The sequence below is a fragment of the Homo sapiens genome, chromosome 15 (genome assembly GCF_000001405.40).
Source record: "Homo sapiens chromosome 15, GRCh38.p14 Primary Assembly".
NCBI lineage: Eukaryota > Metazoa > Chordata > Mammalia > Primates > Hominidae > Homo > Homo sapiens.
In genome coordinates this window covers 80,848,541-80,876,398 of record NC_000015.10, presented here as the reverse complement: position 1 = coordinate 80,876,398, position 27,858 = coordinate 80,848,541, and the positions used below count along the sequence as shown (strand labels likewise).

General features: G+C 48.0%; 1 protein-coding gene across 10 annotated transcripts in view, besides 1 other annotated feature; it reads right to left on the bottom strand.

Annotated features, from left to right (window-relative positions):
* Positions 1-27,858, bottom strand: part of CEMIP (cell migration inducing hyaluronidase 1) — a 172,402-nt gene that overhangs the window by 75,373 nt on the left and 69,171 nt on the right. For 4 of the 10 annotated variants that reach the window (XM_047432894.1, XM_047432897.1, XM_047432893.1 and 1 more), the window contains one exon: positions 2,426-5,864. In XM_047432894.1, coding sequence (XP_047288850.1) covers positions 2,426-2,624 — 199 coding nt within the window. In that variant the 5' untranslated portion in view covers positions 2,625-5,864. Of the gene's footprint in view, positions 1-2,425; positions 5,865-23,393; positions 25,626-27,858 lie in introns of those variants that run through there. The other 6 variants (XM_047432900.1, NM_001293298.2, NM_001293304.2 and 3 more) reach the window with 6 other exon arrangements.
* Positions 25,542-26,042: an enhancer, noted in NCBI's record as "H3K27ac hESC enhancer chr15:81142698-81143198 (GRCh37/hg19 assembly coordinates)". NCBI's record gives its function as "activates a minimal SCP1, AML or CMV promoter by ChIP-STARR-seq in primed H9 embryonic stem cells {active_cell/tissue: H9 hESC(primed)}" and the evidence as "EXISTENCE:reporter gene assay evidence [ECO:0000049][PMID:30033119]".

Genomic DNA, 27,858 nt, shown 5'->3' with positions numbered 1-27,858 from the left:
TTCCATTTTAACGTAAGAGCAGAGTCGCCAGTGGTGGGGTGGGCTCTCTGCGGTGATACTGAGCAGCCAAGGATGGTCATGAGGGCTGGGCTGTGAAACCCACTGCTGGTTTTATCTCCAGACAGGGTCAGGTGCTTGGCTGGATTCCAGTAGAGGCCAGTCAGAGGCCCTGGGCTGCCTTCCATCAAGTCCTGGACAAGAGTGTCAGGCTCCAAGGTGGTGAATTCCCAGCCACGCGGGGAACATATATGGCCAACTGAGGATCCCAGTGGTCCAGGCAAGGAGCCATGAATATGCTGGGAAGGAGCCATTGCAACTCCACTGGGCAAAGCCTTGCAGCCTCGTAGTCCGCATCTGCCAGGACAATCCTGACTGTTCTTTTCACTCTCCAAGTGCAGGAGTTTGCATAGACTTTGCATCTGGATTTGGAGGTGGTCAGTCTGACCTGTGTGAGCACACATCCCAGCTCTCCAGAAGCTCTGACACCACAGCTAAAGCACAGCAGGTGCAAGATTGGCCTTGAATGGACACTCCTTTTTTTGGAGCTGGACATTTTCCTCTCGGTGAAGGCCAGTGTCAGTGGCTTTTCATTTGTATGAATCAGAAAGTGTCTGAAGAGGGCCAGGGCTTTCGCTGAACTATCACCATGGAAACCACCCTCACTTTCCCAGGAGGGGCCACCAGAAGCGGGATTGAGAGGGAGTGCAAGCCCGACCTACTTGGAGCATGAATAGCAAGGGTTGGCTTCTACATCCCTCTGACATCAGAGAAAAGCACAGGCCAGAGGGAACCAGAGGCTCAGCCCCTTTCCACATAGCTGATAGGCAAACAGCAAGAGAGGTGCCAGGATGCGGGAAGAAATAATCAAGGGAAGTACCTGAGGGCACCTCTCCAAGGTGGATCACTTTTAGGATAAGTCACCCTAAAAGATAAACCCAAACCCAGTTCCTGGCAGAGTCAATGCTCGCTTTGTGTTTGTTAATTGAATAAATGAAAGAAAGACAAATGAATAAATTCAGGTAATATAGCCAATTATTGCCTGGAGGGTTAAAATAAGGACTACTGGCTGGGCATGGTGGCTCACACCTGTAATCCCAGCACTTTGGGAGACCGAGGCTGAAGGATCCCTTGAGCCTAGGAGTTTGAGACTAGCCTGGACAACATAGTGGGACACTGTCTTTACTAAAACATTTTAAAAATAGCCAGGCATAGTGGTGTGCATCTGTGGTCCCAGCTACTAGGGAGGCTGAGATGAGAGAATCTTTTGAGCCCGGGAGGTAGAGGCTGCAGTGAACCACGATCATATCACTGCACTCCAGCTTAGGCAACAGAGCGAGACCCTATCTCAAAAAAAAAAAAAAAAAAAAAAAAAAAAAATGCTACTTGCTATGTCCCCTAAGGATCAGAAAGATTCTTCAAAAAATCACAGTGAAGGAATTTCACTAGTTATCAATTATTCTCTTCTATCAATGGGTTGAGAAAAACAAAATATAAATTCAATGTAAGATTCTTTATTCTTATAGAAAAGCATCAAACTCAATGGACATAAAAATAGCATTAACAAAAGAGCAATCAATGGTGATGATAATATTGCAGCACTAAACCCCCATTTGAAATTTAAAAATTGTCCCTGTCTGTCACTGTCTTCTGTCCCAAGTTTGGATTATCTGATCAGTGTTTCCTGTAGCCCAGGGAAACTTACCTTACACTTCTAGATGTTAATTGAAAATCACTTGAAGAAAAAGCTGACAATGCTGAGATAGAAAAATAGATCTAAACCTGGCTTAGAGCATTACAGCTGAAAAGTACTTTAATGTACCCAGATCTTATGACACCAAAGCAGGAAGGGAGCATTGAGACCAGGTGGTCCAGACAGAGTTGGAAAGATATTTCTCAGATACGTGTTTTTTTGTTTTTGTTTTTTTTTTTAACAGCCTATTAGAGTGGTTTTTACATTTTGAATTCATTGGTAACATTTACAAACTAGGGAGATTTTACATAAAGCTCTAGATTTCTGGCTTCTCTTAAAAATTCAGATCCTGCAAAAGGGGATCCACCTTCCCGCAGTAGCGATTGGCTAGAAGTGAGAACAGTGTTTCCCTTTAGAAGGGTCTCAGTTCTCCAGTTGACCACAGTCGCTACCTGGTCAGCTTCACTCATTTGTGTCAGGGGCCTGGCTTCTGTAGGCGCTGAGTTTGCAATCCCTGATTCTAGTCCAACCCCTTCATTTTGTGGATGATGAAACTGAAGCCCAGGACGAAACGTGCCGGGGACCAAGGAGTTTAGTAAGGTCGGGCCAAGGCCCAGGCACCCTGACCCACTCCCACGGCTCCTTCTCCTGGCTCCCCCAAAAGCAGCCTTGCTCCAGTGAGGGGCCGTGCCTTCCATGCTGAGATACAGAGGTCCATCTGTTTGCAGTGCTCACCTGTGGATGTGGCCCCAGGGAAGCAGGTCAGAGTGAGCCAGCTGATGGTCAGCATGGCCTTGAAGAGGAAGTCCTGCCTCCCAGCAGCTCCCATCCTGGCAGTGTGCTCCCTGAAAGAGAAGCACACAGAGTCAGACATGCAGCCTTGGCAGGCTGGAATCAGTATACAGGGCCGACATGGAGATAAACAGAGCCACATGCACACACACAGACACGGGACAGGCAGTGACAGAATGGGCACACTCAGCCAGCCCACACTCCAGTGCAGCGTCCTCACCAGTGGCTTCCCCAGCTGCCACAACTCAAGGCCAGGCAGATCGGGGCATGAAAATCCTACCGTTGTCCTGCCTGTGTCCTGCAGCTCAGAGACCGAGTGATGGGTGGAATTTCATCCTTGGCACTCAAAACTCCTTCCCCTCCAGAATGAAGCTTTTCTCTTAAGTTAAGAAACAGAGCAGAACAAAAATACTCCCACTGAACATGAGCTGGGAATTAGATTCCACCAACTCGCTGTGTGATCTCAGATGATCTGTTTAATCTCTCTGGATCTCAGTTTTCTAACCTTTAAAATGAGGGTGTGGACTGGCTGATTTCTAACCTTTACATTATCAGTCTATGCTTCTAATCCAGTCCCGGATAATAATATTGGAAACATAAATATAGATGCCCACATGTTATAAGCCCTCTTATCTATCTAGGAGGAAGATGTAGCAAAGATAGCTAATTGTCCCCAGTATTCATTTTCTTCTCCTTCCTCGGTAACAGAATCCCTGGTTTTTATCTGGGCACATGGCTACCTAGAATAAAGATTACATTCCTCAGTCTCCCTTGCATTAGTTGTGGCCTTGAAATTCAGCTCTGGCCAATATAGCAGAAGTGTAGTGTTTGAATTCCAGGAAATTCCCTTAAAGGAAGGACAGAGAGACTTTCTTCTCTCCCTTCTCCTTCCTGCTAGCTGGAAAGAAGATGTGATGGCTGGATTTTCAGCAGCTATCTTGGGCCATATAGTAGGAGCCATGCATGCACTGAGGATGCCAATGCAAGCAGAGAGAAAACTTAGGCCCTGACCCTGTGTAGAACCAAAATAGCCCTAGATGATGGACTCATTTTATTGAGACAGAATTAAGCTATTTTATTTTATTATTTTATTTTATTTTATTAAGACAGAGTCTTGCTCTGTCACCAGGCTAGAGTGTAGTGGCGGGAGCTCGGCTCACTGCAACCTCTACCTCCTGGGTTCCAGCAATTCTCCTGCCTCAGCCTCCCCAGTAGTTGGGATTGCAGGCATGCACCACCACACCTGGCTAATTTTTGTATTTTTAGTAGGGACAGCATTTCACCATGTTGGCCAGGTTGGTCTCAAACTCCTGACCTCAAGTGATCCCAAAGTGTTGGGATTACAGGCGTGAGCCACCATGCCCGCCTGAATTAAACTTCTAGTTTATTAAACTTCGATTTTATTTAAGCCACCGTTATTTTTGTTTCCTTTTACTCATATAGAAGTTTACTATGGGAATCTGTCTAGGTAAACCTACAGACAGGAACTTAATAAAGGAAAAGATGTGAGATTTCCTTTTCAGGCTATAATGTCGCTTGGAGAGATGTCTTTGTGCAAGCCCTCTGTAGCACACATAGAGAACTTAGACGGGCTTTGGCGGTGGCCAGCTTCGGCTTCTATGCCATCTCCGCAATTTCTCCTCTGAATATGACTGTAGTTGTGCCCAGGAACAAACAGATACTCTCCCACACTGAGAAAAGGGCCAAAATCTATCTCACCCGGCCCAGGCTCCTCCCTTTGAACCAGCTTAGCGAAAAGTCTGGTCACCCCTGACCTTTCGGTTCAAAGTGAAGCTCTTTGTGCGAGTTCAGTGAGGTGGGACAGGCAAGGGGACTGAAAGGAGCACACTGGGCCCTCTGCCTGGTACCTCCCACACAGGTGTGCTTGGGAGGCCGGGGGAGGGAGGAAACGATACTCCCAGAATCAATGCCGGCCGTGTCCTCTTAACAGCCGCCCTGCCTGACCCAAGCCTGCTCTGCCGAGAACAACAGGGCCCATTCTAGTCACTTCAGCCAGATTGCTGAAGTCACGCATCACGGCATCTGGGAATGGCTCCTTTCCCATGGCCCCCAGAAGAGGAGTGCTCCATTTCATGCTCCTTGCAATAGAAAAGAAGGGAACAGCAGGAATAGGAGCATATTATGGTCCTCATGGAAAAGCCAGAACCCTGGTCTCAGGTCTCCACCAGTTTAGAAAAACCAAAGGTATGAATAGTTTGCTGTCTGCTGCCAAAGGGCCCCAAATCATCATGGCTTCAGAGGAGCCCTTCCTTGGTAAAGGAAGATGACAGACAGCAAGGTTGGAGGTGGCAGGGTATGGGAGGCAGGCTGGGCGGGGGCATCCCTCCTGCCCTAACTTGTTGGGTGACCCTCATTAAGACATTTCCTTCTGTGGACCTCAGACTTCCCAGGTACCGAGTGGGGAGGTTAGTGACATGGACATTGAAGCTCTGACATCTTCTAATTATATCACAGATGATTTCAAAGACCAAAAAAGAGTCACTTTCTGGATAAATACAAAAATAATTCCACATGGAGGAATAATGCTCAACCCCCTTTTCCTAACATTTGTGAGACCTTCTGCTATGTCTCAGAGCCAGCTGTCTAAGCCACTGGGGGCAGAGAGATTGCCCTGCCCAAAGAGGCTAATCCCACATTGCTGAGCAAGGGGTCATCCGTGCCTTCTTGTCCGTGAGTGGCTTCCAGTGCCTGAAGACACATGTCCCAAGAAACATTCCATTGAAGTGAATCCTAAAAGATTCCCAAATTTCCTTGGGAATTCTTTCACCAAGGGAGGACAGCATTCTCCATTGGCCATTAAAAGCTTCCTGGCAACAAGAACTGGGATTCCGCTTCTTAGCTGGCAAGATAGTCCTGAAACAGTTTCCAGCTGTTGAAGGCCTCAGAAGAGTGCATGTTAGCTAACAATGCTGGAAGTCTCTGCAGGAAGCTGTTAGCTGGAGACTGGTTGACCGCTGTCCTCACTGGGTTAGAGGCCTGCTCAGAGATCGAGCCATGAGGACCTGAGCTTGCCTGTCCTTTCAAGAGTGCAGCAAACTCCTTCAGCAGAGCCTGTGCAGAAGAAAATGTAGGCACCCTTTTCCGAAAGCCAGCACTTTGGGATATTCCACAAGTCTTCACAATAACAAGCTAAAATTTTCCAGAAGCTCGGCTGCCCCCAAGTCCAACTGCTGCTCAGTCCCCATGGTTGCTGGACCTCACAGGGTCAAGAGACACAAGAGCAAAAGCAGGGGCAGGAGGCGTTGCTTGCTGGCGTTGCTCTCTGCTTCTCCTCACTGCCATTGCTCACCGGGCACCTGAGTCTCTGCTCTCCCTTCAGGTAGCCCCAGGCCCAGCCGCACCGGAGTCCAGGGCTTGTCACCTGCAGAGCAAGGGGAGACAGGGGAAGAGGAGCCAAGTGTTACAGGAGCCTCCTGAGAGGCTGCAGAGCAACGGCACTCCCACGGCATCCTCAACCTCATGGGGATGAGGATTCCTGCTGCCCAGAGAGGCTACAGAAGCTAGGATCTGTTCTAGGGATTATTGGAAGAAGAGGTAGCAGGAGGTAAGAGAAAGGGTCAGTTTAAGCTGTAAGGCAGGAGGCGAGATGAGATCTGCAGGGTGACCTGGAAGTTCCTGGGATAAGACAGCAGAGGGACAGCCATCCCCGTCCCTACCCACCCTGCATGAGGTGATTCTTGCTTTAGGCAAACCTAGGCAAGGTTCAGCTCAGTGACTAGCAGGACGGTGGGGTAGCCAGGAGCATGGGCTCCAGAGTCTTCAATCCCAGCCATGCAGCTCACATGGAGGGTGCCACCTGGCCACTTGTACCCCATTTAAAAGTCTGTAACGCTGGGATGATGCACTGTAAATTCCAGGGTCACTGTGAGAATCAAAAGAGACACTGTGACCCGTGGTCAGTGCTCAAGCCATGAGGGCTCTTGATATCAAGGACAGTCCATGGCATGAAAGAAGAGATGGGAGATGGGACCTGAAAATCTGGGTTTGAATTCCAACTCTGGCTCTCATCAGCTGTGTGACCTCTGGCAGCCCATTCAATCTCTCTGTGCCTTCTCATTGTGAACATGGGAATAATAATACTACTGATAACCATGAGCTATTGTTGTGAGGGTCAACTGAGATATACTAACTTGAAAAATGTCAACTCATATATATCACTGGTCTCTGGAGTAGGAGCTTTGGGAGGTACAGAGAGGAATCGGATGTGAATCCTGCCTCTCGAGTATCTTACTGGCAAGAGGAAAGAGAGGCAAGTACACAAGGAACTATACTCCCAAATGGCAAGCTGCTATCTTCTTAGGCAAAGGAAGATAAAGAGATGGTACCATTGACAGGATAGCACAATCTAGACAGTCACTCTTTGCTTCACTTAGCAAAGTTCAAGGGAAATATTTTATTTGAGCCTAATGACTCTGGACACTTCCCTTAAAATGACATATGAGAATATAAGTCAGTTTTTCTCCTGTTGAGAGGTGGCAGGCTTTGGAATCAACCACACCCTTGTGAATTCTCTTGGGCACAGTTTTGTTTATGCTTATATGTCACTTAATGGTTACATATCTGTTACAGGCTGAATTGTGCACTCCCCAAATTCATATGTGGAAATCCTATCCCCCAGCACCTCAGAATGTGACTGTATTTGGAGACAGGACCTTTAAAGAGGTAACTAAGGTAAAATGAGGTCATACGGGTGGGCCCTAATCCAATATGACTGGTGTCCTCATAAGAAGAGGAGACTAAGATGCAGACACAAAGGAGAGACCATGTGAAGAGACAGGGAGAAGACAGCCACCTTCAAGCCAAGGAGAGAGGCTTCAAGCCAAGGAGAGAGGCTTCAGAAGAAGCCAACCCTCCTGACACCTCGATCTCAGACTTCTAGCCTCCAGAACTATGAGTAAATACATTTCTGTTGTTGAATTCACCCAGTCCGTGCTACTTTGTTATGGCAGCCCTAGCAAACTAACACAGCATCCTCGAGTAAATCACCTAGCTTTTCTGAGGCTCACAGGTTTCTCACCTGTAATGATAATAGTAATAATTGAAGCAAACACTACCAGGGTCCTGTTAGGTGCGAGGCACTGCTTTATGCACTTTTCATATATTGACGAATTTACTATCTCAAAGCAATACTCTGAGCTAGGTATCATTATTATCTCTAGTTTATGGATGGGGAAACTGAGGCACAAAGTATCTAACTTGCCCAAGGACACACAGGAAGTAGGTGACAAAGTTCAAACCTGCCTTTCTTTTCCAGAAGTTGTGCTTCTAAGGATTAAATTATTTGCAGTATAATCTCAGGATCTCAGAATGTAGGCGCTGATAGGAATATGAGAGATTATACAGCCAGCACTTCTCAAACTTCAGCGTGCACCTGTTTCCCCAGGAAACTTGCCAAGAAATGCAGATTCTGATTCGGTAGGTCTGGGGTGGGGGCTGAGGTGCTGCCAAGGGTTACAGAACTAGTAGGTGGCTTAGTCAGGATTTGAACCCAGGTGGTCTGGCTCCAGAACCCACATTCTGTAAAATGGGAACAATAACACCACTCCCTGCCTATCTCTCACCAAGGCTTACTGGGAAGAGTAAATGCTTGATTTGAGCCATTTCTCTGCCCCTGGTAGACAAAATAATGATCTTGAAATCAAGCCTGGGTGAGCTTGGGGAAGGTGGGCAAGAATCTCCCTCCAGCTTTCTTGTGGTGGTCAGAGAAGCTTCTATGTTTCCCCCTTCCTTTGTGACCTAGGTTTCTTGTTCATGGACTCTTAAATCCATGCCGTGGCTCCTGGAGGACTGGATTGCCTGCACAGGGTCCACTAAGATCCTTTTCTGGCTAAGGACCCAAAAGTCTATCTTTGTGGACACCAGAAACCACAGAAACAGGAAAGCAGAGCTCAGAGGTCTTGTTCCCATGGGACAGAAATCTTCCCTGACAAATTGTGATGCAGAAACCCTTCTCTGACATTGCCCAGTAAGAGCCCTGTCCTCCTCTCCTGGGTCAGGTAAGGGGCAGCCAAACACGCCGCCCCCCTGCCCCACCGCCTCCATCTGCCACTTGTTCCTCCCCAGGCCCAGCTCTCTCCTGACAGAAAAATGCATCTCTCTGGTCACCTGGTCCTGACACAGTATCCCTAGAGAGAAGAAGGAAATGGGAGACAGAACAATCCAAGCACCCCTCTGGATCACAGATAAACACAGGAAGAGTCCCAAGCCTGGGGAACTTCCAGCAGCCCTGAGCTCCCTCCTGCCAGCCCTTTCTCAGAGGGCTTGCCATCAGCACAGTCTCCTTAGACAGGATGTTTGGGGCTGCTGTGCGGGGACCCCAGGGACAGGGCACCCCAGCCTGCATCCTTGGAGAGAAGCACTTAGAAAACCCTTTGCCTCTGCAGATCAGGGCATCCCAGGATGCTGCAAGAAACATGTTTCTCTGGCATGAGTTACTTTTACCTTTTGAAAACACACCTGCCCAGACCTCTCCCATTGCTGCAAAGACCAAAAACCCCAGAGGCCCTCCAAAGCCTGGTCTCTCTTCCAGAAACTGTGCTTCTAATTCCTAAAAATAAAACAACTTGCAGTTTAGCTTCAGGCTCACAGACAGTAGGAGCTGAAATAAGACACCTATTCCAGCGTGCACTTTCTTATGCCTATCAGTGTAGGGGAGGGGACTTGTTCAAATGCAGATTCTGATAGGGCAGGTCTGGGGCAGGGTCTGATTCTGTGTTTCTAACAAGCTCCCAGGGGAGGCTGTTGCTGCTTGTTGGTGGACTATGCTTTAAGCAGCAAGGATCTAGTTCACCCCCACCCTCCCCATTTTACAGATTTGCAAACCGAGGCCCACAGAGTAGAAGACAATTGCTTATGTTGATTAGGAGCAACTAAATGGAAACCTGAACCAGTATCTGATAGGGGAATTGCTGTCTGAGCTCAAGTTATGGGACACATGTCATCTTCTCTGTCACTCTGCTTGCTTGGGAGGAAAGGCGAGAGAGGGGAGGACTAGGCCCATGTATTCCTTCTTCTGTTTCTATTGAGGCAACGCTTCAAATCATTATTTGGATAGTAAACACATGCCTTGGGTACCTTTTATGTATCCATAGAGTCTTTTTTTTTTTTTTAAGACAGAGTTTTGTTCTTGTTGCCCAGGCTGGAGTGCAGTGGTGTGATCTCAGCTCACTGCAATCTCTGCCTCCCGGGTTCATGCCATTCTCCTGCCTCAGCCTCCCAAGTAGCTGGGATTACAGGCATGTGCCACCACACCTGGCTTATTTTATTTATTTATTTATTTATTTATTTATTTATTTATTTATTTTTAAGACAGAGTCTCACTCTGTCACCTAGGCTGGAGGGCAGTGGCGCCATCTCAGCTCACTGCAACCTCTGCCTCCCGAGTTCAAGCAATTCTCTGCCTCAGCCTCCCCAGTAGCTGGGATTACAGGCGCCCACCACCACGCCTGGCTAATTTTTTTGTATTTTCAGTAGAGATGGGGTTTCACCATGTTGGTCAGGCTGGTCTTGAACTCCTGACTTCAAGTGATCCACCTGCCTCGACCTCCCAAAGTGCTGGGATTACAGGCTTGAGCCAACGTGCCCAGCCAAGAGTCTTAAATTATCTTTTTCCTAAAAAACATTGATACGGGAAATTTCCAATGGGGAACCACCTACAGAGCCAAAGAGGAGAGATGCTACAGTTCCCTGTGATAACAGAAATTCACCCTCACGGACTCGCCCTATCCCCAAGCATGGCAGAGTGAATCCCATTTGATCCTGCTGTGCCATCAAGTCCAAATCCCTCCTCACCCCACCAATCAGCTGTAGGGGAGGGATGGTTCCAAAGCCTTTGCCAATTGCAGCTGGGAGAAAGGTAGCTCTGAAACTATTTCACATCCTCCTATTCATTCAGCTCACATCGTTAGCCCGTGGGCGGCCACTGCGCTGGTGCTGGGGGAAAAGGAAAGTAAGATCTCCACCCTTAAGGATCCCCCAGTCCCATACCCCTGTGCAACAGGCACTGAAATCTAAATAATGCACATGACCCTCCCAGCAAACCAGATATGTCCTAATGAAAAGTCAGCCTGTAATTACTCACTTGAGATTTAACGTAAGAGTAAATAATTTAGCCACAATGATAAATCTGGCAGGGTGTCCAAACTTTTGGTTTCCCTGGGCCATACTGGAAGAAGAAGAATTGTCTTGGGCCACACATAAAATACACTAACAGTAGCTGATGAGCTATAAAAAAAAAAAAAAAAAAGGGCTGTGCATAATTTTCATGATATCCACCATCACAGATAAGCAAAAAAGTCCTCACGTTCAAAGGGCTGGACATGGCTGCATGCTGTCCAGTACAGTAGCCATGAATCACATGTGGCTATGTAAATTTAAATTCAATTATAATTAGATAAAATTAAAAATTTAGTTCCTTGGCCGGGCGCGGTGGCTCACGCCTATAATCCCAGCACTTTGGGAGGCCGAGGCTGGTGGGTCACGAGGTCAAGAGATAGAGACCATCCTGGCCAGCATGGTGAAACTCCGTCTCTACTAAAAATACAAACATTAGCCGGGCGTGGTGGCGCGAGCCCGTAGACCCAGCTACCCAGGAGGCTGAGGCAGGAAAATCGCTTGAACCCGGGAGGCAAAGGTTATAGTGAGCCAAGATTGCACCACTGCACTCCAGTCTGGGTGACAGAGCGAGACTCTGTCTCAAAAAAATAAAAATAAAAAAATAAAAAATTTAGTTCCTCAGTTGCACTAGGTACATTTCAAGTCCTCCACAGCTTGTATATGGTTAGGGGCTACTACATTGGACATCACAGGTTGAGGACACATTTATCATTGTAGAGACTTCTATGGAACAGCTCTGAGCCTCAGGACTCAGAGTGGTGTAGAAGGTCCACACTAGAGCTACAATTCAGTTCAGAGTGACAGTTCTCACGGTGGTATTCCCTGAACAGCAGCATCACACTACCTGTTAGAAACACAGGTTCTCAGTCCCACTCCAGACCTACTGACCAAGTGACTCAGAAAAATCTGAGGGTGGGGCCCAGAAAGCTGTCGTAACAAATCCTCCAGGTGATTCTGATAAGCGCTTACGTTTGAGAACTGTTAGTTACAGAGTATTAACTAAATCTCAAACAGACACTTGTCAGCCATCAGTTAAGTGTCAACCTCCTAAATATTTGAAAATGTATCAGGCTTTATCACAAGCTAGATCCAAATTTAAGTCTCAGACCTGCCACTTAAGGGCGGTATGTGTAGTTGGCCAATTACTCAACAATCTAAGCCTCTGTCCGCTCAGTTGTAAAATGGGGGAATAATAGCTGTCTTAGAGGTCTGTTAGAGGGATGAGATGATGTATGCGATGTGTGTGGTACACGGGCCGGCCCGGATGAAGACTCCATAAAGGTCAGTGTGTCGCCATTACCCAGGGTTGCCTCCCGGGCAGTGACGGATGCAGCTGACCGTCAGCCTGGCTTACTACATGGGCTTTTAGGGTAGCCTTTTTCACGAATAAATTGGTAGAACTGCATCTTCAGATGAGAGTTACATCTAAACAAGAGGTGCTTTCTTGAAAGCTTGCCACAGAGGGCTTTATGCAGGAAACTCACCCCTGTCAGGCAATATGTTTATGACCTGGGGAAAAAACCCAAATATGACCTAATGAGAGTCCCTCACTGGGCTCTAGGCAAAAGTTCTGCCTGGATTATGTGAAGTGTGGCAGATGCACCAAGCCAGAGTCCTGGGGTCCTGGAACAGTAAGCCTTCTAGCAGAGAATTCAGGGGCGGATAAAGGGAGGTTCCTGCTACCTCAGAGGGCCAGGGTATGAGAAGAGGTCATTTCTGCGCGGCAGCCTGGCTCATTGTTTTATTCCAGGGGGCTTTGCTTGCCTCTCACATTCAAGCAAAGCACAGATCCCAAAAGAGGGAAGGGAAAGGGAGAAGAGAGGGGAGGGGAGAGGAAGGCAAAGGAGAGGACTGGAGAGGAGAGGGATTAAAAGATAAAATATGGCCTTGTTTACCCATCCCAGTATTAAACTCCCACCCTTCTGGGGGATTCCATGAATGAAAACACAACACCTGCTGGGCTAGTGGCTGTGAAAGAGGAGAAGGGGTGATGGAAATGCAGCACATAGGGAGCAGATCTATTCTTAGTCCCACGAACTTCCTCCGGGCCCCCAAAGGCCTTGCCCCATTCTGATGTCTGCTTCCTTGATTTCAATGTTTTTTCTCTTCCAGACCATCCTCCCAGCTGCCATGCTCAAGCTTTTGAAATGCATAATTTGTTTTAATTACAAAATAAAATAATTTCTACCTCCCCTAGAGGGTTCTCCCTGGCCCTAAATTTCCTATCAATTCCTTCTCCCTCTGCATCCACATCATAGTCATCAAACCCTTCTTTAAACTTATCTCATTCTGTCTTTAGAGTTCCTGAACATTTTCCACACTGGGCTGCGGGCTCCTTGAGGGCAGGGACTCCGTGAACACATTTTCCTTCCCAACAGACCTTAGTTCAGTAGCTTGGCACACCAAGGCTGCCCAGTCAACATTGGACTGACTGAATGTGTTTGCCAAATGAATCTGGCTATTTGCCGGCTCTGCAACTTTCAACTCCTTGTCCAACACCCTCTATCAAAACAGGTGGGTGTATTTTGAAGTAGAAATTGGAGACATTAAAATAAGCAGATTTTTTAAAAAATACATCACTCTTTTTTTGTCATTTAAGCATTACCCTCAATTGAGGAAAAAAAGAGTACTTTCCCTGTTAAAGCTTGTTTTGTCTCCCAGCATCATAAAGCTAGAGGGGAAGTCTTGTTACTGATACAGGTGCTCCCAGGCTCACCAAATCCAAGGCCAGCCTGCCCCTCCTACAGTTTGGAGTGACTGGAGGCTGCAGCGAGGAAGGGTCCTGGCCTCTCCCGCCAATCCCAGGGCTCTCTGGAGAGGGTGCTGCCCACGATAAAAGGTAAGCCAAGTTCCCAGTTTTCCCTGCCCTCAGTCCCCAGACCATAGACGCCCATCACCTCTGAGATTCACTTATTCCCATAGGACAGGCCTCTTGCATGATTCCTCCAGGTATTTCTGGGACTCCCCACGGGTGCCTACATGAATCCTGTCCCAGCTCATGCTGCAAATATCCTGGGATTTCACAGCCACAGCCTCTCACTGGGGGTTTAGCTAAGTTCCATCTCCACCCCTGCTCCTCATCCACCTGCTGCTATCTTCGTGCATGGGACATGAGGGATTCTCCCCCCAGTCCAGCCCGCCCTGGAAGCTGCCTCCTACCTCACAGTGAAAGTGGCCCATCTTATCTGCATGGAGAGGGAGAGTCCATGCTCAGTTACATGTTCCACAGCCAGGTGACCTGGCTCCCATGGTATTAGGGAGGCTGACAGAGAGGTTCATTCAACACACATAGGACCTGGTAATGAATGCTGCTCTGGTAGCTGGGTCGCTCTCCACCTTAAACCTCTCCCGACTGTCCCTCCAGCCCCGACTTTGAGTCTGCATGGCACAGGATGGCTTCTTCCATGAAGGGATTCCTCTCTTGGAAGCCTCATTGTCCTTTCCTGAATTTGAGCATCTGTCTGGCCTTCCCAGTCCACCAATGGTCTTTAAACAAGTGAGCCTCATCTGGAAAGACAGTTTAAATTCCACCAGCCCAACCCAGGCTCCTCAGCCTCCTTATAAATCAGTGGATGCATGGATGCAAGTAAGTATTTCAGGAGAGGAGCTGCCACCTGACGTCAAAGACAAGTTGACCCGAGTCCCAACTCTGGCTTCCCCAGGCATCATCCACAAAAGGCTCTGCCAGCTGGCTCTCGTTCAGGCAGGGAAAGTCTGCCAGGGCCAAGGGGAGCGCAGGAGGCTGCCCCACCATGAGCCTTTTTATTCCCAGTTCCCTGGGCAAATGCAGTGTGGGCTGGCTCCTCAGAGCCGGCAGCTAAAAGGTCAGGTGATGCCAAGAGCAGCTAGATCACAGAGTTCAAAGACCTCAAAGGTAAGATGAGCCTCTCTTGAGACTCTGAGTCAGAACTTGGAGCTACCCAAGTCTACTCACTGGGCTATACATCTTCCCAGCTGGTTGTGTGCACTGTACTGACTTGGTAAGTGATTGTAGCAATAAACACTTCATCAGTTGTATTTGTTAACTGAAAATACTAGCATCAGCAGTTGGCTTGGCGTTTCTTCTGGCCTGAAGTTATTCTATGTGTGCCTACTTGTTTCTGGGGCTCAAGAAAAATTTCTACCAGATGCCCCCTGCCCTCTTCCCATCACCTCCTACCAGGGTCAAGACCCACATCACTCCTCATCTAGGTTATTTAGTGGCCCTTTTTTCCCCATTCTCCCCACTGGGGGGTTCCTGGCCCAATGTGGGAAGGGAGGCTCATAGTCCCAGGAAGACCTTTGTTTCAAAGAGGAGAAAATCAGTGCTTAAGGAGAGTGAGGATGCCTGGAGAATACAGCAGGTGCCAAGGATCAGCAAAGATGAGCGTAGTGCAGGGTTCATTCATGAAGCACCTTCAGTGCAAAGTTAAGGAGTCTGGATTTTATCCTGAAAGCATGGGTGTGGGGGCACTGGCGGACAGGAGGAGCCAGAGGAGTGAGTCGATGTGTACTTTTAAAAGGTACCACTGCCAGGGACAGGGAGGAGGAATGGGAGGGGAATAGGAGTGCAGCCTGGAGGTCTCTGCTGGAATTTAATTAATCAATCCGTGTTTATTATTAGTGCCTACTGCACGATGGTTCTAGGCATTGAGACACGGCAGGAAACAACTCAGGAAAAGACCCTGCTCTGGATCAGGTTAGAGCTCACAGTCCAGTTGTCGGAGACAGGGGTTACAGGAGGAAGAATAGAAACCAATAAGCAAGGAAAGGCATCCCATATATGTCTGATCACACAAAGAGCTACAGAGAGAAATCAAGCAGAGGAGAGGAAAGCTCTCTCTGATAAGGTGGCATTGGAGCAGGCACCGGAAGGAAGAGACAATGGGGTTAGGAGATGCCCTGGGAACACACAGGCAGAGGGAACACAGAAAGAGAAGGGTGTGAGGGAGTGCAGCAGGCAGGGGCTGGAGCTGTGTGGTGAGGTCAGAGGGCAGAGGGGTCAGCACAGCTAAGGGGTAGGGTAAGTTGAGGGTGATAAGACGTGAACACCCAGGTGGCCAAAACTGGGGTGCAGGCAAGGTGGGGGTGGGAAGGGAGAGAAGGGACATGCATAGTGCTTGAGGCAGGGCATGCTGTAGAAACGATGCCTTTCTCTGCAGCAGATGCCCACTCAGCTCAGTGCTGCATTGATTGCCTGGTAGGTGAGATGGGCATTGAAAATCCCCACCACTGGGTGTGGTGTTTTCAGTGCTGCCGTGCTGGCTTAAATAAAGTCCGCAGCAAGCATTGTTCCATTCTCATCCCATCCATGGCTTTCACACTAACAGCTAATCCTTTTGGAGTGATGCCTCCAGGCACTGCAAGTACATCATCTCAGACTGTGTGGGCCCGACTTACAACTGTCCTTAATATTCTAGTGCCCAGAGAGAAGACAGGTAATGTGATAGGGTCCAAGAAGGCTGGATTCTAGCTAAGTGTGCCACACCATACACACCTGGACGTGAAAGAAGTTCTCAAAACCAGAAGATCCTGGAAAATGTTAGCTGCTATTGGAGTGGTTCTATGTGTGGCTCTGTTTTGTCTGTTCAAACTACTTTTGTATGATAGAAGTGTAATTCTAAAGCACCCACTTTCCAAATTAAATGAAGGAACAGGGGGAATGAAGCACTGGAGAGACTCATCCAGAGGCCTTGAAAGCAGGCGGAGCCAACAACCTGAGCTGGAAAGGTCTAGAAAATGTGTATGCGTGTCCCTGTGTGTGTATGTGTGTGTGCGTGTGTGCCTGTGTATGAGTGGGAGACAGGGAGAATACTCTGCAGAGCTTGACAAGCAGGCAGATCCACCCTACCCTTTGGGTTCTGACTGTGGATCTGGGGCAGGACTCAGTAATCTGCATGTGCACCCCTGCCAGACACCCTGAAAGATTCTGATGCAGGTAAAACCCTTCTAGAGGTACAGCAGAAAGGGGAAAACGTGTTTACTTCTCTCCACCAACTAAAGGAAAAACTGCTTTTTCCCTCCACTATCCCAATACTTCCGACCACTAAATGTGCAAGGGATTTTCAAACCAAGCAATTCTCCAGTTCTTGGTGCACAATAACTAGGTGCTCTATAATCCATTCGATTCTGATACTGTCTACCTGGAGTTAGCACAGATGCCATGGATTGAGATCTGTGTTTAGACCCAGGGTAGGCCCATCATTGCCTTCCGGCATGTGGACTGTGAACTAGAGGCATCCTTGAAACTGGAAACAAGGGCCTTGTGGGGCAAAGGCCTTCTGACCTGGGCAAAGGCATAGTCTGCTGGGAGCAGCAGGAGAGATGGGACAGATAGGGCATCATTGCCAGCAAGATGCCTCCTGCTCCCAGAACTAGATGTCTTCAGGAGAGGCAAGATCCAGACACAGGTTTAGAACAAAAGGTGATGAACTGGAACCAGCCTTAATGATTGATGGGAGAAGGTGCTACATTCAAAATGAATGAGGAGCCCACAGAGGATGTTTGTGAGTTTCATCTCCTGCTCCCGAATTCAGCCCCTAGATCTTCCTTTGCAGCCATCTTTCCCTTTACTCTCAGTCCATGTAGCTCAATGGGGGCTGACCCACTCGCCTTGCTCCTAAGGTAGATATGTGACCCGGCCTGGCCAATGAATAGATCCATTCCCCTGGCTGCTGTGATTGGTGCAGGGATGTTCAGTTGACCCAAGTCAAAAAAAAGGGACATTGGCTGGAACTACTGGGAAAGCTGGATCTCATCCCACTGTGGTTGGCAAGCCTGGAGTTGCTGGGGCCACCCTTGCCTCTATATTGAGAGAGCCTCTCTAAGAGTGAAGCTTGCACAGGGGAATGTGGAGCCTAGAGATGGAGAAAGCTAATACTTGAGCACCAAGACCCAATTATGCCTGAAGCTACTACTATCCCTGGACTTTCAATTGCATGAGCCAACAAAGTTCCTTTTTCATTTAAGCCAGTTTGAATTGTGTTTTTGACATTCACTATGGAAACAACCCTAACTAATAAGAAGCCAAAAGGAGAAGGAAAGATGAAGATTAGTTCTTTTTTTCTTTTTTTTTTGAGATGGAGTTTCGCTCTTGTTGCTCAGGCTGGAGTGCAATGGCGCAACCTTGGCTCACTGAAACCTCTGCCTCCCAGGTTCAAGGGATTCTCCTGCCTCAGCCTCCTGAGTAGCTGGTATTACAGGCATGTGCCACCACACCCAGCTAATTTTGTATTTTTTTTTTTTTTTTTAGTAGAGACCAGGTTTCTCCATGTTGGTCAGGCTGCTCTTGAACTCCTGACCTCAGGTGATCCATCCGCCTTGGCCTCCCAAAGTGCTGGGATTACAGGCGTGAGCCACCAAGCCCAGCCAAAGGTTAATTCTTTCCAAGTCTTTTTGCTCTCATAAAGCGTTTATTTAATTAATGAGGCCTTACATTACTTTATCGGAAAAGAATACTTATTTTCCTCAATTGTATCATGTCCCCAAAACATGCAGTTTCCTAGAAAATGTGACCCACATTGGAAAGAATGAAAATCTTTACTACCACTAAGGTTGACGACTATTTCATGAAGGACTATGCAAGAACCACCCACCAGCCTACTCCCCACCTTATCCCAATCCATCTTCCACAGACCCACCAGCATGAATCGTGGCACATTTTTGCTTAAAATCCTCCAAGGGCTTCCCATCACACCAAGAATGAAGTCAGAGCCCTTTATCCAGCCCTGTGTGGCCTGACCCTTCTCCAGCCTCATCTCATGCCAGTCTCCACCCATGCAACATGGGCCTCTCTGTCATTTCCTTGAAGATGCCAAGCTTGATTCTGCCCCAGGGACTTTTCACATGCTGCTCCTACTGCCGGGAATGCTTTCCCTACTCCACTCACCCTCAGGTCCCAGTCTAAAGTCCTGTTCTTACAGATGCTTTTCCTACCATCTTCTTCCCATCTGAAGGTCCCTGCCTCAATACCCTTTGTAGCATCCTGGTTATTTTCTTCACACAGTTTATAATCATATATTCACTAATGGGTTTGCTTATTGTCCATTAACTTCATGACGGGAGGGATTTGGCCGTTGGTGATGCTACTCAGAGTGTGGTCAAGGGACCAGCAACATCAGCATCACCCAAGAGCCTGTTAGAAACCAGAGGTCTTGCCCCAGGCCACTGACTGGCAATCCTCAGTGACTAATGTGCACGGTGAAGTTTGCAAACTTCAACTTCTAAGGGTCCTTCCTCTGCTCTAAGACACCTTCTGCCCTCATCCTTCCCCACCGTGAAAGGAGTCAGAACTGCTGGCTTCTGTGCATCTCTTTCCATTCTCCTTCCTTTCCCCTGGGAAGCATTAATATTAACCAGTAGGGCCAAGAAACACAGAGGATGCCATGAAATTTCCTCAAAGAGCTGGGGGCCCTAGAGGGCTTACATGAGAGCCCTGAGACAGGCGTGCAGCCCATGAATGAGCCCCTTAGGCTCGGACACACAAGAGGCCAATTTGTTGGCACCTGCTGTGCCTGGAAGCCAGGCTGGAATGTCATGAGGCAGGGCCTGGCAGCAGTTCAGAGAGTGCAGCCTTCCTCCCGGGCTCCTGTTCTCAGGCTCACACAAACCCAGGAAGGGCAGAGACAGGGAATGTTTGCACAGCAGATAGACTTTCTCTACTCCTCCCTCTGCCCAGCCAGAGTGGAGTCGAAAGAGCACGCTTGATTTTAGTTCAAGTTTGGGCCAGAGTCCTTCTTTGATCTGAGAGGCTTGTCTTTTCCTGGGTTATTTATTTGTAGAAACCACTCTGGTTTCCTACTACTTCAAATACACCTACAGGAAGCCACTGGCAGGTGGGGTTCTAACGCATAGGCCTGTTTTACTGCCCTGGGTGCCACCGGCTCATTGTGATGGGATCAGTTACCTGGATCCCTGCACGCAGGTGAAATTTACAGCCCTGGGCTATAGAACAAAAGGCCCTGTTCTGTGGAAGAAAATGGGTTCTGATAAAGCTAGCTGGGAGGAGAGGCCAGAAACAGGGAGTCCTAGGTTCTAGTCCTGGGAGACCTTGGCAGACCTTCCCTGGGCCTCAGTATTCTCTCTCTAAAGTGAGACCCAGGAAAATGCATATTTTAGTGCTTACCCAGGGCCAGGGAGCTGTGACAGAGATATGTAAGGATGACAGTTCCTGACTGCATAATCTCAGCTTGCAATCCTGAGCTCCGGGACCCCTAACTCACCACTAGGGGACCCCAGGATTCCACATAATCGCTTTCCCCTCCAACCCAACATTTTGCTATGAAAATTTTCAAACACACAGCCAAGTTGAAAGAATCTCACAGTGAACACTAATACAGTGCAACCTAGATGCTACCAGTAACATTTTGCTGTGTTATTGCACATCCATCTATCCATCCAGAAATCAATCTCAGTCTTTGGATGCATTTCACAGTAAAGTGAAGACACCACCGTCCACATTTCCCCTTAAACACTTCAGCCTGCATATTATTAACTAGAGTTCCATATTCTTTTTTTCATCTTTTGAGGGAAATTTTACATGTAAATAAAACACACAAACCTAAAATGCACACTTGTTGAGTTTTGACAAATGCATATGTCTCTGAAACCCAGATCCCCAGGAATGTCCAGAACATTATCATCACCCCAGAAAGTTCCCTCATCCCCTTCCCAGTCAATTCCAACAAGAGGCAACCACTCTTCTAAGTGAGAAATACCAGAAACATTCCATAGATTCACTTTGCCTCTGCTAGGACTTCATGTAAATGGAATGATCCAGTATGTAGACCTTTGTACAAGGTTTCTTTCACTCAGCATGTTTTTGGGATTCACCTACGTTGCTGTGTGTATCAGTAGATAATTTCCTAGAATGGCAAAGAAATATCCAATTGCATTAATATGCTCTACTACACAACTGCCTTACTATGACTGCTTCAGGGAACTCCAATAAAATGGGATTTGGGAGCAAAAAGAAGGCACGGGCTGGGTGCGGTGGCTCACACCTGTAATCCCAGCACTTTCAGAGGCTGAGGCAGGCAGATCTCTTGAGGACAGGAGTTCGAGACTAGCCTGGCCAACATGGCAAAACCCCGTCTCTACTAAAAACGCAAAAATTAGCCAAGTGTGGTGGCATATGCCTATGGTCCCAGCTACTTGGGAGGCCGAGACAGGAGCTGAACCCAGGAGGCAGGAGCTTGAACCCAGGAGGCAGAAGTTGCAGTAAGCCGAGATCGTGCCACTGCACTCCAGCCTGGGAACAGTGAGATTCCATCTCAAAAAAGAAAAAAAAGAAAAAGAAAAAAAAAAAGAAGGCACAACTTTGCTACCAAAATGCAGTGAGAACGAGCTGTGTTTGCCACTGTCCTTCTCCAACCCAACAAGATGCTTTGGAGGCAGGTGTCCTCGGCTCAGTTCCCAGTTCCACCACTCATCTGCTGTGTGCAAGTTCTGGTACCTCCCTGTTCTGCAGCTTCTTCATCTGAAAGATGCTGGTGACAACAGGACCTTCCTCAAACAGCAGTTTTGAGGAAGAGTGAGGTAAGCATGTGTTCCATAAATGTTACTATATGTTGGTGAGGAGGAGCTTTGACTTTTATTTTTATTTATTTATTTTTTGAGATGGTGTCTCACTCTGTCTCAAAGAGCTTCAGTGCAGTGGCATGATCACATCTCACTGCAGCCTCAAACCCCTGTACTCAAGCGATCCTTCCATCTCAGCCACCTGAGTGGCTAGGACTACAGGCACACACCACCATGCCGAGCTAATTTTTTAATTTGTTTATTCTCACTATGTCCTGTTGCCCAGGCTGGTCTTGAACTCCTGGACTGAAGTGATCCTCCTGCCTCGGCCTCCCAAAGGGCTGGGATTCAGGCATGAGCCACCATAGACATAGTTTGACCCCTGCATGTGCCACTTAGTGGCTCTCCAGGTCTGGGAAATTTCTGTGGGTTTTTTTAAAATAGGTATGGCTTCATTATATTTTACAACATTATCTCGTGGATTTATTTTTCCTCTTCCTGGTTTTCTCCTTTCCCTCCCCAGGACTTCCCTTTGCATTTTTAGGCTAAGATTCCTGTCTAGCTTATAAGGCTATTAAGTATCTTCTGCCTAATTGAGGTTTCGAGAGGATTCAAAGAGATAACATATACAAAATGCTTAGGAAAGCACCCGGTTTGCAGTTAACTCTCTTACATAAAAGTTGTTTTCCATTGTTAGCTGTGTTCTTCAAAAGGGCAGAGCAGAGACTGATTTGCTGAAAACAAATGTGGATGCTCAAGAAATACTTTTGAAAGAGTCTTGCCCTGAGAAGTCAGGACACCAGGCTCACAGGTCAGCCTTGCGTTCCCTGCCCTACAGATGCTGTTAAAAATGGAATTCAAGGGAGCAACTGCAAATTGCCTGAAGCATCTCCTGGGCCTTCAGCCTGGTCTCCCAGGAGCTGCAGCCCACGCTTGGTTTATAGCCAGGAGAAGTTGCCAGGCAGGGAGAAGAGCCCCCGCCTCAGGCTCTGGCTACATTTGCAGAGCTGAGCTGTGGCCCAGGATGCTGGCCTAGGTTCAGCTCTAGTCGGCCGTGTTGCCTAAGATCTTCCAGAGGCTTCAGTTGGAAAAAGTTATTCCTTGATTTTCTCCATAAAATGAGAGAAAGTGGTCCTGGCAGAGAGAGGAGGTAGCACTGTCATCTCAGGGCAGGCCTCGCTGGCTCACTGAGGGCCTGCAGAGGCCCAGGGGACAGTGCCTGGTTGGAATCTGAACACAGATCTCTCTGACTCCAGCTTGTTCCTGCCTCTGTCAGTTTGCTTCTGGGTATTACATTTGGAAGTTGTGCTTCCAGCACCTGGGTCCAAGGAATAACCTTAAAAACCATCAAGACCATGACTTGCCCCAAGGTCCCATAACAAAGGTTCAAAGCAAGGTCTCAATTCAACTCAATGCTCGTGCATCACATATTAGGTTGAACAATACAAAATCGTCCATGTCTTGATCTATAAAAGTGTCTGTTCTATGCCATTCAACCTATATGTTTATTCAGCCCTTCTTATGTATACACCATTGTCCTTAAGTCTGGGAAGTGGGGTTGTGGGAGCAGAGAGATGAGAAAACAATGCTCGCCCTTAGAGCTTTGTTCTAGAGCCCTTGGAATCTAATCTCTCTGTTTTGATCTTCTCTCTCAAGTAGTCCTACCTCTTACTATGAGATCCATGCCATTTGAATTGGGTCAATTCCCTTCTTAGGGCTTCAAAGACCACCATATTGTAGGGCTTCCCAAATCTCTGCCTTGAGCCAGGGTCTCCACTTTGTTCCAGAGCCCTCTCTGTGATCTGCCCTTTCACAAAATGGACCTCCTAGAGTCACGCTTGTTCAGCAAGATTTCTGACTCCCAGACGAAACAGACTGGACCAGAGGCACAAAGGACCAAAGCTGGGCTGATTATTTTTCTCCTGGTTCCAGTCCCTTCTTGCGGCCTGGCTTTATTCCTGCCTTTGAAGCTAGGAGACACTCCCTATGTCCTTATCATAAATCCAAACCCCATGCTTTTCCCCCCTTTCCATTTGACTAAATGTAGCTCAACTTGGTTTCTCTTACTTGCAACCAAAAGTCTTAGTTCTTCAGCCCATACATGAGTGATCTGACTTTTTTCTCCCAGGGTCTTAAATGGGCATTGGAACTCTCAGCCACAACAAACACTTTTCTGCATAGATTTCTACCCTATTCTCAATGTCTCTCCTGTGCTAACAGTACCATCTCTGGTGGCCAGGACTTTGTAAGAACAGAGGAAGTCATTCTCCTGACTCACCTGGTATCCCAGGGCTGGACAGGAGTGAGCTGTGCAGGCTTGAAGGACTCATGATGATGGTACATGTGGGTGTGGGCCACCGGGACATTTTGCCCCTCAGCTATTCAGGCGCCTATTGGGAGCTACTTTCCTGTATTTACCATTCAATCCATGTTGGAACAAAGACAAGCTGAAAATCAAATAAACGCCTTCCAGACACTTAACGCTGCACACACTTGATCTTCCTCCTCCTTCAGGACTGAAAATGAGATAAGCACCACCTTACCTGGCTGTTCTCCAGGGTCCTGGCATAAAAGAGGAAAAGGGAGGGGGTGAGACTATCTCTCAAAGTATGTTGGGACATGAAAGCAGAGGCATAAACCCTTCTTTGAATGGGAAGAAATGATATATATATATATTTTAAACCACATTTCAGTATGAAAGAAGATGATGGCAGAGGAAATGTCAGTAAGCTGAGTCAGAATGTTTCCGATGCCATAAAAGCAAATGCTGTCTTCGATACGCAACTATTAAAAGTAACAGCAAAAATGCAATTACTTTTGCACCAACCTAGAATAATATTGTTGCTCCTACTGGTTAGTAATCGTACCTCTCCACTTAAAAAAAAAACACACACACACATTGGAAGTAGCCATGGAATCCAAAAAGGTTCTGATTCTGATGTAAATGTTACACTTCAAGGGCCTTCTGTGTGCCAGGTATCAGGCTATCTGCTTACTACATGGTTTAACTCCCACCACATCTCAGAGGTTAAGTGATTTGTCCAAATTCACATAATCAGCAAGTGGTACTTCTGTTCCAGGGTCCCAGTTATCAGAATTTCAAGCCACTGCATTTTCTCACTACTCTGCTGTTCCAAGGAACAAACAGTTCCATCAGAAGACAGCAGTGAACTCTCAATCAAGCACTCCTTCCTGCCCTGCAAAGTTTGCCTCCTCTCACTCTTGCTCGTGAACTCAACCTGTCCCCCTTGAAGTTCTACCCACAGTCTTCTACTTCCTCATCATCTCTTCAGTGCAGGAGGACCTCTCTATCCTGACATTCACGGTGGCCTCCTGATGGTCAGCCCATCTCCAGTCTCCTCCTCCTTCCAGTCCATCGCCTACACTGCTGCCAGGATAGTCTTTCTCAAAGGCAAATCTTGTATTTTACACCCTTCCAAAACCCGTGTTGCTGTATGAGGTCCCTCAAGAAGTGGCCCCTAGATATCTACTCAACCTCACCTGTTCTCTCGCTTCATGCCCCACGCCACCTTCTAACTTACACTCTGGCCACGCTAGTACCACCAGATGACCCCCTGCCCACCCAGTGTCCAACGTGAGCTCATGGTCTGTGCCTTTTATCACATTGCTGTTTCTGCTGGAAGGCTCTTCTCCAGCACCAATGCCTGGAGGAAATCTACTACCCATCAAGCCTTTAATAAATTTCCAAGAAGAATGAATCACTCTTTCTTCCTTATTTCCCACCTCTATTCAGCATAGGTCTCTTATTATTATAGAATTTTATTACGTGAATTTCCCATGCTAGAACATGAACTACTGCAGGGCAGGGAACCTTATTTTCTTCCCTTTTCTATCTGTGATCGAGGGCCTGGCCTAGAATAGGGATTCAGTAAAGGCTTGTGGGATGAATCACAGAATCAATGCTCAACGGATCAATGAACAAATGACTCACGTTAACTCTAAAAAGAACCTCACCTAGAGAGGGATTAGATTTGTTAGCCAATCACTGGCCACGTCCCTGTCTCCTGTTCACCCTTTGTTTGCTCCCTGGCCCTGCTGTGGAGTTGCGGTGACCCCAGGATTGTCTGCCTGCCTCCCCTCCTCTATGCCCTGCCCCTCCCCCTCCCACATAGTCACTCCAGGGACTCCCATGAGGGCTAGCACCACCCTGGCACTGGCCCCTGCCAACAGGTCCACAGGCGAATGCCTGACTCAAGCCAGACCAATGAGTTGCTTCCCAGGATCCTGGGCTTGGAGATAGAGAGAGTCTGAAGTCAGTCTCATTGCTGTGGTGAAAGTTACTCAGTACCAGTCAGCAGCCCCATCAGCTGCCCTGTTCCCTGTTGGCACTGGAGCCCTGCAGCCCTGCTTTCAGCCATCCCTGAGCCTGCCTCCCCCAAAGATGTTTTCAGAATTTCGTTTCTCAATCCTACCTTGGATTCTCTGCACCTTCACCTTCTCTGTTGGCTTGGAGCTGGGTTTCTGTCACTGACAATCCCAGAGCCCTGATGAGTAAGGGGGTGAGCTGACAGACCTGGGAGAAAACTGAGCCAGGCTGTAGCTGAGTCCATGGGGATCACTGCAGTGAAAAGGAACCCCCTTCCCTCCACACCTTCAACTTTAGGGAGCAGCCAAGTCCCTGACAACATGGCTTCTCCTCACCCACCCTACAGGACATGTCTCCTTGGGAAAATAACAAGAAGATGATGGCTGGGCGTGATGCCTCACACCTGTAATCCCAGCACTTTGGGTGGCCAAGGCGGGATCACTTGAAGCCAGGAGTTTGAGACCAGCCTGGCCAACATGGTGAAACCCTATCGCTACTAAAAATACAAAAAAATTAGCTAGGCATGGTGGCACATGTTTGTAATCCCGGCTACTTGGGAGGCTGAGACATGAGAATCACTCGAACCTGGAAGGTGAAGGTTGCATTGAACTGAGATTGCGCTACTGCACTCCAGCCTAGGCGACAGAGTGGGACTCTATCTCAAAAAAAAGAAGATGACAATAAAGAAGCTGCCACCACTCTGTCCTTCTACACATGCCCAAAACCCCTGACTAGGAATCACTCCCCGGCCAGCTCCTGCCAAAGACACCTCTCCGACCCCTCCTATGTGCATCTCCCACCTCTCCCACCCCTGACCCTGACATTTACCTGCTCTGCCCATCCCTTGCCTGGACAGCCATAACAGCCTCCTCTCCCTGAACACCGCTTTGCCAATGGAACCTTCCCAAACACATATTCACTATGCTCCAGTCTTGTTCTAAAGCTTGCGGTGCCGCCCTCTCCCCACCACCACTGCTTACAAACTCTTGATGGCTTAGCAGAGGGTGGCCCTTACCTAACTCATCACACCTTGGGCCAACTCATCTCTAGCATGTATCAGGCGCAGTGGGCCATGCATTGTCTCTTGGGTCATCCTTGAGCATCTCTGTCTCTCTGCCTTCACTTGCTCAGCATCCCTGCCTGGAATCCCTTCCCACCCATTCGGGTATTTCACTTCCTTTAGTATATTTCAATCTGGCCTCATTTTTGAGAACCTCCCTGATAACATCAATTTGACAGCTGACTTCCTAGTTAACCTACTTGCTTACTCTCTCTCTCTCTCTCTCTGGTGGTCATTCTGCTCAACCACACAGGACATTTAGATTAAGAGTAGCCTCATCCACCTCATTTGTCCAGCACACGAGTAACTGGAACTGGGCCTAAGGAGTGAACTGGCCCGAGAACCCTCAGGTCACTGGCAGAGTTGGTAACCGATCCCACGGCGTGAAGTGGGTGAGCAAGAGGGAAGAGGCCAGGGTGACTCAGAGGTTTGTGGCTGGAGTAGAGAGTAGGCTCCTCGCCAAGGCAATGGTGAGCAGATTTCCCAGCTGGCTGGAAGTTCCTGCTGAATTGGAAATGCTTTCAGGTGGCCCGTGTAGAGGCTCAGTGGGCAGTTGCATAGGTGAGTCCGGAGATCAAGAGAGAGACATGGACTCTAGACATATTTTAAAGAGATTGGCCAGGCACAGTGGCTCATTCACCTATAATCCCAGCACTTTGGGAGGCCAAGGCAGCACTTGAGGTCAGGAGTTGGAGACCAGCCTGGCCAACATAGTGAAACCCCATCTCTACAAAAAAAATAGCCAGCTGTGGTGATGCACGCCTGTAATCCCAGCTACTTGGGTGGCTGAGGTGGGAGGATCACTTTAACCTGGGAAGCAGAGGTTGCAGTGAGCCAAGATAGCACCACTGCACTCCAGCCTGGGCAACAGAGCAAGGCTCTATCTCTCTCAAAAAAAAAAAAAAAAAAAAAAAAAAAAAAAAAAAAAAAAAAAAAAAAAAAATTTCTAAAGAGATCCCTGAAGCCAGGGTGTGTGTGTGTGTGTGTGTGTGTGTGCACGCGCACACGCTCATCAGAGAACACACTGACCATGAGGAGGTTGAGGCCTGAGTTCTGGGAGTGCAGAAAAGATTCATCTGGAGTGACCCTGCAAGGTCCATTTAGCCCCTCTTGGGCAGCTGCACCCCACATTGCAGGGCTGGCCCTACTTTCAGAAGCTGGGGAAACTGGTTTCTTGGGTGCAGCTTCCTGCACCCCTTCTTTCCGCCTGGGAACCCCTTCTCATCTATGGGCAGGCAGTGCCCCAGGACATCAAGAGATGGCTTCCTTCCTTTCTTGCTGATGCTCCTTGGAAGAATAACCCCAAGAGAGATCCTCCATAAATGGGACGATGTGAACTGAACTTCAGCCCTCTCC